Raw genomic sequence first — 15,339 nt, forward strand, 5'->3', positions numbered from 1 at the left:
TATATGGCCTACGCAGAAGAATATATGGTCTATGCAAATAACTTCTCACTGTACATTCTCTATACAGACCTATACAAATATTTTCATAAAACTTCTGAGCTGGAGGTGGAACTATTACAAAGTGTTGTGGTTGAAAAAGGTTGATGGATTGAGGTTATTCCTCAAGACCTCTTTCCACCACAAAACTGAATATCCTAATTAGAGAATCCATTAGAAGGAACTTGACCAAGTCTGTGGCTTAATTTATGCCTCAAAGTGAAGTGATTAATATTATTCAATGCATGCATAGGACCAGAAATTCTTATTTGAATAAGTTATTCAACTTATAGGGTAATTAAAAACTGAAAGTAAACTGTCATTTCACTGCTATATTCCTATATATTAAATTAAACTTTAAACATTATTTAAGGATTCAATGTAATATATTTAGCTTTTTTTTTTAAAAGCAAGTCTGGAAGCTGGGCCAATTTCTACAAATGTTCTGCTCAGTAGCTAGCCTTTTGTGGAAACTCAATAGATCTTAAACACTTGGTTCATTTAAATTACTCTTCTTTTTGCTTTCAGGAAAGATTGAGAAGAGTTACAGGGAAGTTTAGTGGATTAGTCATTCAGTTCCTTGATGGATCACTTGCATGTGCCAATGCCAGGGAACATTTAACTGATTAAAACATTCTGAATGAATTTGTCATTTGGGGGTACTCTTTGAATGAATATCTTTATTGCATTGACTGTGTCCTACTGATATGACTTAGGCTTACTTCCAACATTAATTCTAAAGAGGCTCTGGCTAACTTATCTGTAGAATGTGTGTCCAAGTCAAGTTCGTGATGTATTTGGTTAAAAAAAACTTTGTGGCTCTTGAAAGAAATACAAAGATTTAGTAGTCAGTATTGTTTATAAAGTCTAGGGTGGTCATATTTAAATAATAAATCTAAGAATTAGATGAGTACTGTTACACATTTTTGTTAATAAATCTTAAATACTGGAAAGAATAGACTTAAGAAAAATATTCCAACATTGAAAACCTAAGTATCTAAACATATTTCAGTCTCATATGCCAAAAAATATGAAATTATAGCATTTTTGGTCAGGATAAACGCCTCCTGCATCTTTTTGTATAAGAAGTATTTTGAATGAAAATAGACTTGCCATGTCAGACTATTTGAAATTTAAGTTCTGTTTTCAATTTTAGGTTCTTAAAAAGGTCCAACTTAGCCAATGAACATAAAAGTGCTTACTGCTAATTTAGCTGCTGCTGCAGAACATGAAAGGAAATCATGAGGCCATTAACACATCTAGAAATAGTCATTTTCTAGCTTTCGGTTCCTAAGATAGCTTAGTGAAAATAAAATATTCAGACAAGGCAGGGTAGGGAGGTGAGTTTTTAAAGGATTTTCTTTTTAAACTTTCCTTCCTTCCACCCTCGCTCCCTCACTTCCACCCTCCTTTATTTCTCCTTCTTTATGTGTGTTAACTTAGAACTTCACTTCAAGATTTTCCGAGTGCTAAGTGATAGGGGCAGTGAGATATACGCTTTATCTCCCTGCATAGGCAATGAGTAAAAAAGATGTGAAATTATGGCAAATTCACCAGCAGATTTCAAAGGTGAAAATGCCCTTCTTGTACCAGGGTTAATATGATCTCCAGCCATCCATTCACAGATCATGCTCACTCTGTTGATGGCAAAGGAAAGTTCTCTTTGAGGCCTTGAAATGGAAACTGCACATCGTGCCTGGAAAGTCCCTCCAGGCTAGTGTTCAAGAAGTCTTTCTTTCACACTTCAGTTTCTTCATTGCATTATATTTACTGACTGCCTACCCTATGTTAGACCCTGTGTTAGGTCCTGCAGTCCTGTTCACAAGGATATTATAGTCTTGAGGGGAAGGCAGACATTCATTAAAGACTCACCTCAGTGTTGACGGGCAGACTGCAATAAAAAAGTATGCGGCACTGTGAATGTGTAACAGGTGTGGGCGGTGGTCAGGGAAGGCTGAGACTGGTTAACTGGGCAGAGGCAAAGGGTTGCAGGCAACTCGCCTGAGGTGGAGAGGCAAGGCTGGTGACAGGGGCAGGGAGGCCGTGGACAGCCGATATCACAAAAGGCGGTGCTGAAAGATGCAAGGGGACTGAGGACTTCTTTTTAGCTGAGCAAACAGTGCACATTTCTTCCACTCAGACTTTTCCTTTTCTAATTAAAAAAATGGGGACATCCACATCTTGATAACACAGTTAATGTGTGAATATAATAACTGCTTAATAAATCCTTGTTGAAATAGGAATGCTGATTAAGGCACTTAGGCCAGCAGCTGAAGGAGGCTTAATATATTCAGAGATGATTCCTAGGTATCTAGAAAAGGATATTTTAAGCTAAGAGAAAAGAGGGACAGTTCACCAGTTTCTTCCCTTCTAGGGAAACAACATAAAAGGACTGGAGTTGTTAAAAGACAGGGTGAGAAGTCTGTTGACATAAAACATGAGAAAATGAAGTTTGTGATGTTTTGATGCAGAAGTAAGTTATCATTATTGTTGAGTGATAATGGCATTAATTTTCTGAAGATGGGCAGCTCCTTTCATCCCATTTAATGTGTATGTGTGTGGGCATGTGTGCTTGCATACCTAAGGCTAAATTAATTTTTGGTACAATAGGGTAGGGTTGCTAGATTTGGTAAATGGAAATACAAGGCATCAAGATAAATTTGAATTTCAGGTAAAGGAAGTATAACTTTTGGAGTATATATATATGTCCCAAATGCCCTACCAGAGTGGAATTTTCCTCTTAAGAACTCTGGAGGCGTGTTGCCTCATTTCCCCCATGTTTTTAGTCATTGCATGTATAATGTTTATATTTATGTTTATTCGCAGTTTATTTTTGCCACATATATTTTTAGAATCTAAATTTTCCCAATAGTCTGGAACCTTTGGTGGGTGTACATAATGTGATGAAGGATTCTCTTCCTGGAGAGGCTGCTGATATATAGCCAAGATTCTGTCTTTGTGCTCTGGGCTTCTGTCTCTGTAGTGTTAATATTTCAAGAATGAGACTAGAGCATTTTTCTTACTTTAGTGCCCTTTGGAGCAACAGAAAGCTGCCTTTGCTGCAAAGGACCCTGTGGAATGATTGTTGATCTGCCTTCTAGAAACTGAGCTGTGCCCAAAACCTTTTACCAGTTTCTAAAGGCACCTGCTTTCATTTTCCTAGGAAGGTTCTTTAGGTGAGCGATAGTCACCCCTATATCTCTGCAATACCAAGTGAGCAGCTTGTTGTGTGTAGATACCATGAAATAGAAACAGATTCATGAAGATAAGATTAGAAGGTAATCTTTAGATTACAGAAACAGATTCATGAAAATAAGGATTAGAAGTTGTGAATGAAAACAACTGTTGCTTTGGATGGCTGGATTTAAAAATGTTCCTCAATATTGATGATGTGGTATTTTAATTAAAAAATAGGATCAGATCATGACACATAGAAGAAGCTATAATATGCACAATGATCTGCTTTTCCAGGAAATGAGTATCTTTGGGGATCAGCATTGAGCTCACTACACATGATAAAAAATAAAACTCATTGGAAATCTAGAAATTGGCAACTAAAAATTGAGTCAAAATGTGTTTTAACCACCCCACCCCCCTCTTGTTTGTTTTTATTCACTTCTGATAACCTACTGGCTGTTTAGTTATATTTTATGGTTGTTTTGGCTATCACAAACTCATACAGAATAGCTGGAATTATCAGTCTCAACAGGGACCATGAAGACATATGTGTGTAATTCAGTACATATATTAAAAAATAGCTAATTTACAATATTACAGGCACAAGGGAGCCCACTGATGTGAAGTTTCAGTGAAACAGTGTAAAGAAATGATGTTAGTTAAATATCACTATTTCTCAAAGTAAAGGATGTCATTGTATTAGTAGAATGTTAACCCTCTCTTTTATGGGTCAGTTACATCAACTTCATCATAAACCCTCTTCAAAAAACATGCATTTTAGGACTTGGATATAGTCAGGTCTGTGTTTCATTAAGCATTTGTTCAGATTCCAGCTCTCTTGCTCCACAACCATTGATATTTCTCAATTTATCTATAATTTACACCCTGACTGTCTCCATAAAAGATATAATGTTTATAAGGAAAGATATATGCAATTAGATAATAATTTGAATGCTTTTACAGGGAGAGGGAAATAAATATGCCACCCAAACCTAGGCTAATACATTCATTGAAAGCGAGTACTAATAATTATTTCTAAGCCTCCCAGCAGCCAAGGCAAAAAGGGACTCCAGTAACATAACATGATCATTATTTCATTGTTTACTTTTACTACTCCCTATTCCACGTTGAGATTGTTAGAGATATGTTAGTGATCACCTCAAGTCTTATTACCTCCAGAAATGTAAAGTTTGACTTAAAATCACAATGAACTCTTCCAATTTTTTTCATACTATATTGCATGTGCTTAAGTAATTCTTTGGGCTTGGTTTTAGATTTTTAAAAATTATGGTAAAAAGCACATAACATTAAATTTACCATCTCAACCATTTTTAAGTGTAGGGTTCAGTAGTGTTAAATATACTCACATTGTTGTGCAGCAGATTGCTACAACTTTTTCGTCTTGTTACACTGAAACTCTCTACTCATGAAACAACTCCCCATTTCTCCTTCTCCTCAGACCCTGGAAATTACCATTCTACTTTCTGTTTCTATGAATTTGACCACTTTAGATACTTCATATGAATGGAATCATACAGTGTTTGTCATTTTGTGACTATTTCACTTAACGTAATGTCCTCGAGTTTCATTCTTATTGTAGCATGTGACAAGATTTTCTTTTTTTTTTTTAAGGCTGCATAATATCCCATTGTATATATTTACATTTTCCTTACTTATTCATCTGTTGATGGACATTTGGACTGCTTCTATCTCTTGGCTATTGAGAATAATGCCACAAGGAATGGGTGTCCAAGTATCTCTTCAAGATCCTTTTCTGAATTCTTTTGGATATATACCCACAAATGGGATTGTTGGATCATATAGTAATTCTATTTTGAATTTTTGGAGGAACCTCCATGCTATTTTCTGTAATGGCTGCATCATTTTACATTCCCACCAATAATACACAAGGGTTCCATCTTCTCTACATCTTCACCAATGCTTGGTATTTTACGCTCTTTTGATGGTGACCATCCTGATGAGTATGAGGTGATATTTCATTGTGGTTTTTATTTGCACTCTTCTAATGATTAGTAATGTTATCATCTTTTCAAGTGCTTATGGGCCATTTGTATATCTTCTTTGGAGAAATGTCAGTTTAAGTTCTTTGCCTATTTTAGAATCAATTTTTTTGTTGTTGTTAAAGTTTCTTATATATTTTGGATATTAACCCCTTTTCAGATATATTATTTGCAATTATTTTCTCCCATTTTATAGGTTGCAATTTCACTCTGTTGATTGTTTCCTTTGACATGAAAAAGTTTTTGTGTCATTCCATTTGTTTATTTTTGATTTCGTTGTCTGTGCTTTTGGTGTCATATTTAAGAAATCATTGCTAAATTCAAAGTCCTGAGGCTTTACCCCTATGTTTCTTTCTAGGAGTTTAACAGTTTTAAGTCTAATTTTTAGGTCTTTAATTCATTTTGAGTTAATTTTTATGTATGGTACAAGGCAAGGGCCCAAATTCACTCTTTTTGCATTTGAATATCCTATTTTTCCAACACTACTTGTTGAAGAGGCTGTCTTTTCTCTGTTGTGTGGTCTTGGCACTCTTGCTGAAAATCATTTGGTCATATATGCAGTGGTTTATTTCTGGGCTCTCTATTTTACTCCGTTGGTTTATGTATCTTACTTTAGGCCATACCACACTGTCTTAATTACTGTTTCTTTGCAGTAGGTTTTGAAATCAAGAAGTGTGATGCCTCTGACTTTGTTCTTTTTCAAGATTGTTTTGGCTCTTTTGGGCCCCTTAAGATCCTGTAGAATTTTATAATTATTTTTCTGTTTATGCAAAAAGTGTCATTGGAATTTTTATAGAGTTTGCATTGTATCTGTAGGTTGCTTTGGGTATTATGGACAACTTTACAATATTAAGTCTTTCAACCCATGAGCATGGGATGTCTTTCCATTTACTTGTATCTTCTTTGATTTCTTTTTGCAATGTTTTGTAGTTCTCAGTGTATAAGTCTTTTATCTCCTGGGTTAAGTTTTTTCCTAAGTATTTAATCCTTCTTGAGGCTATTGTTAACAGAATTATTTTCTTAATTTTCTTTCCAGATTGGTCTTGTTAATGTATAGAAAATGCAACTGATTTTTGATCATCGATTTTGAATCCTGCAAACTTTTCTAAATTCATTTATTAGTTCTAACATTTTTGTGTGTGTGACTTAAAAGACCATGTCATTTGTGAGCAGAGACAATTTAGGTTCTTCTTTTCCAAATTTTAGGCTTTTTATTTCTTTTTCTTGTCTAATTGCTCTGGTAAGAACTTGTAGCAATGTATCGAATAGTCGTGGCAAGAGTGGGCATCTTTGCCTTGTTCCTGATCTTAGAGTAAAAGCTTTTAGTCTTTTCTCATCGAATATGATGTTAGCTGTGGGCATTTCATATATGGCTTTTATTATGTTGAGGTAGTTTCCTTCTATTCCTAGTTTGTTGAGTGTATTTATCATGAAAGCATGTTGAATTTTATCAAATGTCTTTTCTGCATTGATTGAGATGATCATTTGGTTTTTGTCCATTTTCTTAATTTGGTTATTACATTGGTTAATTTTTATATTTTGAACTATTCTTTCATTTCATTTATAAATCCCTCTTGATCATGGTGTGATCAACGTGTGCTTGAATTTGGTTTGCTATTATTTTGTTTAGGGTTTTTGCATCAGTATTCATCAGACATATTGGTCTACAGTTTTTTTTGTGTGTCTTTTTCTGGTTTTGGTATTAGGATAATGCTAGCCTCATAGAATGAGTTTGGAATTGTTCTCTCTTAATTTTTTTGGCAGAATTTGAGGAGGATTGGTAATCATTATTCATTAAGTATTTGATACAATTATTCAGAGAAGCCACATGGTCCTGGGATTTTCTCTTTTGGAAGGTTATTTTTTTTTTTTATTACTGCTTCAATCTCCTCACTAGTTATAGATCTGTTTCCGTCTTGATAGGTTGTATGTTTCTAGGAATTTGTCTTTTTTTAGATTATCCAATTTGTTGGCATATAATTGCTCATAGTAGTATATTTTTTATTGCTGTGACATCAGTGGTAATATCTCTTTTTTCTTTTCTAATTTTAGCCATAGAGTCTTCTCTCTTTTTTCTTTGTTAGTCTAGCTAAGGATTTGTCAATTTTGTTGTTTTTTTGGGAAAACCATCCCTTGGAGTCACTGATTGTTTCTATTCTTTATTTGATTTATCTCTACTCTAATTTTTATGGTTTCCTTTGCTCTGCTAACTTTGAATTTAGTTTGTTTTTCTTTTTCTAGTTACTGAAGGTATAAATTTAGGTTGTTGATTTTAGATCTTTTTTCTTTTTTAATGTAGATGTTTACTGCTATGCACTTCCCTTTTACTACTGCTTTCACTGCATTCCATAAGTTTTGTATGTTGTGTTTTTCTTTTCACTTGTCTCCAGATATTTTCTAAATTATCTTGTGATTTCTTCTTAGACTCATTAGTTGTTTATGAGTGCATTGTTTAATTTCCACATATTACTGGATTTTCCTATTTTCTTTCTGCTATTGATTTTTAGTTTTATTTTATTTTGATTGGAGAAGGTATTTTATATGATTTCAATCTTCTTAAATTTGTTAAGATTTATTTTGTGGCCTAACATGTGGTCTATTTTGGGAATGTTCCATGTGCGCTTGAGAATAATGTGTGTTCTGCTGTTGTTGGATGTTGTATATATATATCTGTAGACCCAGTTGGTCTGTTGTGTTGTTCAGGTCCTCTTGTTTCCTTATTGATCTTCTCTCTGATTCTGTTGATAACTGAGAGTGGGGTATTGAAGTCTTCTACTATTATCATATTGGTGTCTATTTCTCTCTCCAGGTCTGTCAATTTTGCTTCATTTATTTAGGTGCTGTAATGTTAAGTACATATCTGTTTTTTTACTGTTATATCTTCCTGGTGAATTGACCCTTTTATCATTATACAGTATTCTTCGTTGTCTCTTGTGACAATTTTTGTCCTAATGTCTACTTTGTTTGATACAACTCTGGTCACTTCTCCTCTCTGTAGGTTCCTGTTTACATAGAATATCTTTTTTTAACCCTTTTACTGTAGCCTATGTGTGTCTGTAAGGCAGGTTCACTGATTACCAATCAGTAATTCTAATTTCTATCAATTGTATGAGACAGAACACTCAAACAAGTTAAGTGAAGCAACTTTATAGGCACAGTTAGGCAGCAAGGGACAACAAAAGCCTAGGATTCATAGTTCCCCAAAGCTCAGAGTGAATGGAATCTTTCTGTGTGTTACCTACTTTGCAGTGCAGGTGAAGAACTTTGAAAGCAGTCTACTCTGGATTGTATACCCAGGGGCAATGGGGATTGCTGGGCTAAAGTGCTGCAGGGCATCCTATTCTTGGAGGGACAGGAACAGAGCCCAAGCTGTTTCAGATACTTTCTCCTTATCTCAAGATGCTGCACTCCTAATATATCCTACAGTTATTTTTGAGAACTACAATTGAGAAAGTGGGGAAGAGTGCAGTCAGTCAAGGCCATCTTGGAATTCGTTCTGCACTGTCTCTAGTGCTAAATTGAGTCTCTTATAGACACAACATATGGTTGGATCTTATTTTTTTAAGTCCTTCGGCCAATATGTGTCTTTTAATTGGTGCATTTAAGCTATTTACATTTAAGGTAATTACTGATAGGGAAGGACTTACTATTGCTATTTTATTGTTTTCTTATTGTTTTTGTCCCTCATTTCTTCTCTTGTTGTCTTCGTGTTTCATTTTTTTTTGTAGTGACATGTTTTGATTCTCCTCTCATTTTCCTTTGTGTGTAGCTGTGTGTATATGTGTATATATAAAAATTTATATATATTACATATATATAAACCTTAACGAGTTTGAGTAAGAAGCAGTTCATGAATTGGGAAACACCAAACTGAAAGAGGTTTAGTGTTCTGATGACAAAGCATACCTTACATATATTCTATAGATAGTTTATTTGTGGTTATCATTGCAATGAGATAAAACATCTTAAAATTATGACACTGTATTTTAAACTGATAACAACTTAACTACAATCATGTAGAAAACCTTTTACATCTCTGCCCCCTCCCAGTTTATGTTATTGATGACACAATTATCTGCCGTCATATTTCATATCCATGAACATAGATTTATCATTACTTTTTATGCTTTATTAAATAGATTTTAAAAATCTATACCAGATTTATAAGTGTTAATTTTTCTAGCAGGCTTTGATATGGTTGGCTTTGCACTTGCCTGGGGTGCAGGATCCTTTTAACTGGTTTCTAGATTTCTCTCAGGGGCATTGGTCCATTGGTCATTTTTAAGTTCATATTTTTGTGGTTGAAGGGGAGTCCAGGGCTTCCTATTTTGCCATTTTAATGTTATCACTCCTGGTTCTAGGTTTTATATATGGTGATATTGAAGATCAGTTTGTGATTGTAAGTGCTGAGACTAAATGAGACTGTTATCATCATCCTTTGATTGTGACCACTTTATTAGGACTATCGCTTTTCCCTTAAGCCTTTTTGTTTCCCAGATGAATCCCATTAATTGACTTTTGGGGTTTACCTTTTGGGTAAATCTTCTTACTCCAAGACTCTGTGTCTATGTACCATGCTGATTAATATTATACTAGAAAGTGGTTTGCTGTTTTATTTGACTACAGCTTAACTAAAAATCTTTTGACTTTCCCTAGGAAAATCTGAGAAAGCGTATCATAGGTGGTCTGAATTTAAGGCAAATATGGGTGGCGATTAGACCAATTATAGACAAACATATAAGAAAGCTGTGAGAATGTGTGTGAGATGAATAATTATGAAACACCAATGAACCAGTGCAGCTGGGGATTTAAACATCTAAGTGGGCTTAATGTATCATTTTATATAGCTGAAGTAAATTAAAACAATATTTTGTGTGAACATTAAACTTTTCTTCCTTTGGTATGAATACTCTGGGGATTTGGAATAAGCATGATTATTATAATTCACACCTCTTTTAAAATCTTAATGTTGTTTGTGGCTAGTTGAGCATGTGAGACTATAAAGTAGTGAACTCTGCGCTCTTTATGGCCACAGCTTTTGTTCCTAATTCTTCTTGGCCTGTTTCAACCTGTGTGTCATGACTCCCAAGCTGAACTAGGTAAAAGAATGTGAATGGATCATCATTTCTAGAAAAGCATCTCAGAACATAGTCCATTTAGATAATTGGTTTAAAAAGTAGCCTTTTATTTCATAGAAAGCAGCACAGTCTAATACAAGGAACTGGTGTGCTACACATGAGGACATGCTCTGCCTTAATAATTCTCTGGCTGTCTTAGGTAGAAAAGTTTGGGGTTGAAAGAAAAGTGATGTCTGTTTCAAAGGAATGAAAATTCTTAGGGTGTAACAATAGCTTATTAGTGAAGAGCCTAACTTTGGCTCAAGCATCAGACTGCTTGAGTTCAAATACAAATTCCTCCATTTACCATCAATGTGAGCTTGGTCAAGTTATTCCTCCAATAGTCAGTTTCCTCATCTGTAAAGTGAGCACAATGGTAGGACCACAATTTAATTGATTCTGATTGGAATTAAATGTACTACTCTGTGTATAAAGAAGTAATTAGTCCAGTGCCTGGCACATGATAAGCTCTCAATAGGTATTAGACCTTTTTTTTCTTGTTAATTTTGTTGTTTATGTTATCTTTATTATAACCATGTGGGAAGTTTTATGCTGAAAAATATATAATACTGAATTTTTTTAAATAGATAATATGCAACAGCATCTGTAATGACTGCATAAACAATTCTTGCATTTTCCTGAAGTGTTCATTTTAAATGATTGATTCATGGCTCGGTTCAAGTATACACACAGATTAGCCTTTGCAAATAATTCACTTAATACTAGCTACACCCTGTGGCAGTTGTTTTAAGGTTTTTGATCTCTAGGGGGTGTACAGAAGTGTTCTACTTGTGCAAATTGTTTTCCTTTTTATGTCATCAATTCTGAAAACGTAGGCTTATTACAGGAATTTTTCCCCCCATATATTTTTGAGCCTCATGCAATTTTGTATAGCAGTAGCCAGTGAAGTTATCCATATTGCTTCCTCTGATATAGTCTCTGAGTCAATTTGTTTTAATGTTTAAAAACTTATTGCCTACTTTTCCTTGACACTTACATGTTCGGCGTTTCAGTGGAAGATAAAATGAAGAAACTTGATTTCCACTCCACTAGAAACAGGCTATTTTCCTTCTATTTCATCAAATCTCAAAGCTTATAGAGATTATAACTGCATGTTGGTTATTTTACTGTTCTTGCCTATCTATCTATCTATCTACAAATCTATCTTTCTATCTTGTTCATTTTAGGGATAATGAAGAAGCATTTAGTGGGACCCCACAAGCATAATAAAAAGTGTCACTGTAAGATATATTTACAAGCATAAATATAAAAAGCAATATAGTACTTAGCAAAAAATATAACACATTCTCTCATAAGGCACATTTTTTCCACACTTTTATTTTGTTTTTACGATTTAAAGTAGTCACTTAAAAATCAGAAAGCAAAAGTTTTTTGACCTAGATTTAGTTGGTTTATAATAAGTCTTGTTGGTTATGGTGAGTAATCAGTTAATACCTGTTAAGCTAATAATGAGGTAAGAAATATATTGACTTTATTTCTTGGTGTGGAAATGACTTATTCATTCAACAGATACTTATTAAGTGGGCCAGGTACTACTTGTTAATACAAATGGTGAATAAAGTGGCTTACACTCTAATGAGAGAGACAGACAGCTCCGAGTTAACAAATGGATAAAAATATACTTACATATGTGATATGCATAGTGTAAGATAACGAGGGTGGTCACGGTGGTGGTAACCTACTCCAAATACTGTACTCAGAGCATATGTGTGATAAATGAAGTTGTTGCAGTATGTTTAAAACACTGGAGCCAAAATTTTGAGTGCTCATTTGAAAACACTTTATAGTAAAACAGTGGTGCTTAGAATGATGCATTAAAAAATATATATGACTATCTTGCTGAAGGTAAACTTTTTTTACAACTTACCTGACATGATCTTTCTAAATTACAATAGATTGTATATGTTGGAAAACATTTTTGTAAAATGTACAATAAGTCTGACATGTGAGTGAAAAAAACCTTTTTTCTTAACTTTCAAAAGTGCTAAAATGCCCTGTGTAGTATCATGTAAAATAGTGACACTAATGCCTCACTCAGTGGGGAGGTAGATGTGGCTGAGGAGGGACAGATGAATGGATCTAGTCAGTAGTAACACATTTGAAGTTCTGGCTGATCCACAGAGTCTTTTACTTCTAGGGTCAAGGTGGTAACAGCCAATTAATAGGAGAGCAGGTTGGAAGAAGAGTAAAAGATCTACATGCTCATGTTACTTGTCGTGCTCACAGAAAACAAACCAGTTTTGTGTGAGAAAATTGTTTCCCGTCAACTTGAAAACATTGAATTTGCTCACCCTGGAGCTTTCTTTGATGCTCCTCTCTTCAAGTCCCATGTGGCTGTCTTCCTTCTAAGAAAGCTATTTATAAACTGCAGTGCTCTACGCAACTGTAAGCACAGTGGCTGCAGTCTAGTGGAAATATTTTGGGGTCACAGGTAGTTCTGTATTCAAATCTCAGCTCTGGCTCTTTCTAGCTGGGAGACTTGAGCAAATTATTTAACTTCCTGATCTATAGCTTCCTCGACTCTAAAATGGGGGTAATAAAACTTTGTTTACAGGATTGTGTGAGGATTGAGACTGACACAGGTAAGGCGTCTTCTACCATGGCTGGCACTTAGTCTGTTTTGCTTATTACTTAGGGCTCAACTTTGAACGAACTTGAGGTTACAAAGCTCAGTATCAGGTTATCCTCGGGTTGTTTCCTCTGTAATCCTCATTTCCCTCAGAGCATGGTGAGAGTCTTGAAGACATGAAACATTTTATGCTTTTCTACCTTCCTTGTGCCTTGCAGAGTCCTCAGTATCCAGTCAGCACTTAATGCTTATACTGCCACTTCTGGACTGCCTTTCAACAAATTTCTCAAAGTTAGAGACCATGAAGGGCATGGAGACTGGTGCTTTTCATGCCGTGCTTCTGCAGATTTTGGTGGGGAGGCGGTAATAGGGGAATGAAGGTGGAGCCATATGAAATAAACTCTTAAAGGCATGATAGTGACCAGGAAAATAATATGTACCATATTGTGTGACAATCCCTATGCATTGCCAAAATTGCCCAGTGTATTTTTATTATGATTAAAACCACAATGACACATATGATGCCCATTTAACATGCTCCAAAAACACAACAGGAATTCACCTTCACAAAGAACAATAGACATGGGGCCAAGACCTTGGATTCTGACCAGTTTTAAACACCTGCTTCCTCCTACACAGTCGAGAATTATCTTACACGATTCAGCCTTAGAACTGGGGGCATGGTTTAAATTGTAATGTCTGAGGAGACTCAGGTTGGCTGAATAAGAAGGATGACAGTGCCTTTGTCCAGTTAAATCTGCAGAGGTTGTCTTCCATCCTATGCAGCTGCCTACCATAAAAGAGGAATCTAGGAAAGATTTTCCATATAGCAGGCACTCAGTACTTATGTAAAGAATGAAAGGACAAAAAAATTGTTCTCTTTGTATGTCTTAATGTAACCCTAAGAGTTCCAAGCCAATTGTTGACATTATTCTAACATAGCATAAAGATTTGGACAGACCTGGGTAGCACATTGTAATGATATTTGGCTTGTTGATTTCTCAGCTCTAAGAGAATCTCTGCTTTTGCCAATAGGCACACATAAGAATGTTCTTAATGCTTTAGTAATAACATAGTTATCCAAAATGTTAAACTTTATTCCGCAAAATTTTAACTCAAAAAATATTTTTCAGCAAGTTTACATGTATTCCCTGGGCAACACTGGTCAGGCATTCATTCAACAGTAGACATTTAAGTATATATTATATACTGTTCTTGATTGTGTGGGAATTTCAAAGATAAATGAGATTCTATCTTTGCCACTTAAGACTTACAATTATTGGCTCCCAGGCAAGATGGCTGAATAGGAACAGCTCTGGTCTGCAGCTCCCAGTGAGACCAACACAGAAGGCGGGTGATTTTTGCATTTCCAACTGAAGCACCCGGTTCATCTCACTGGGATTGGTTAGACAGTGGGTGCAGCCCATGGAGGGCGAGCAGAAGCAGGGTGGGGCATTGCCTCACCCGGGAAGTGCAAGGGGTTGGGGAACTCCCTTCCTATCCAAGGGAAGCCAAGAGGGACCCTGCCATGAGGGACAGTGCTATCAGGACCAGATACTACGCTTTTCCCACAGTCTTCGCAACCTACAGACCAGGAGATTCCCTCAGGTGCCTACACCACAAAGGCCCTGGGTTTCAAGCACAAAACTGGGCGGCTGTTTGGGCAGACATCGAACTAGCTGCAGGAGTTTTATTTCATACCTCAGTGGCACCTGGAACACCAGCGAGACAGAACCGTTCACTCCCCTGGAATAGGGGCTGAAGCCAGGGAGCCAAGTGGTCTTGCTCAATGGATCCCACCCCATGGAACCCATCAAGCTGAGATCCACTGGCTTGAAATTCTTGCTGCCAGCACAGCAGTCTGAAATTGACCTGGGACACTCTAGCTTGGAAGGGGGAGGGACGTCTACCATTACTGAGGCTTGAGTAGGCAGTTTTCCCCTCACAGTGTAAACAAAGCCGCCTGGAAGTTCGGACTGTGTGGAGTCCACTGCAGTGCCACAAAGCCACTGTAGCCAGACTGCCTCTCTAGATTCCTCCTCTCTGGGCAGGGCATCTCTGAAAGAAAGGCAGCAGCCCCAGTCAGGGGATTATGGATAAAACTCCCATCTCCCTGGGACAGAGCACCTGCAGGAAGGGGCGGCTGTAGGCGCAGCTTCAGCAGACTTTAACGTTCCTGCCTAACGGCTCTAAAGAGAGCAACGGATCTCCCAGCACAGTGCTCGAGCTCTGCTAAGGGACAGACGGCCTCCTCAAATGGGTCCCTGACCCTTGTGCCTTCTGACGGGGAAATATCTCCCAGCAGGGGTCGAGAGACACCTCATACAGGGGAGTTCCGGCTGGCATCTGGCAGGTGCCCCTCTGGGACGAAGCTTCCAGAGGAAGGAATACACAGCAA

General features: G+C 36.4%; 1 protein-coding gene across 3 annotated transcripts in view, besides 1 other annotated feature; it reads left to right on the forward strand.

The window, feature by feature from the left end:
• PLCL1 (phospholipase C like 1 (inactive)) overlaps window positions 1–15,339 on the forward strand; it is a 345,271-nt gene that overhangs the window by 199,115 nt on the left and 130,817 nt on the right. The gene's annotated exons all lie outside the window — the stretch shown is intronic.
• Window positions 1,621–1,810: an enhancer, noted in NCBI's record as "active region_16949". NCBI's record gives its function as "activates an Ori minimal core promoter by ATAC-STARR-seq in GM12878 lymphoblastoid cells {active_cell/tissue: GM12878}" and the evidence as "EXISTENCE:reporter gene assay evidence [ECO:0000049][PMID:35858748]".

Source organism: Homo sapiens, chromosome 2 (assembly GCF_000001405.40).
Source record: "Homo sapiens chromosome 2, GRCh38.p14 Primary Assembly".
Classification (NCBI taxonomy): Eukaryota; Metazoa; Chordata; class Mammalia; order Primates; family Hominidae; genus Homo; species Homo sapiens.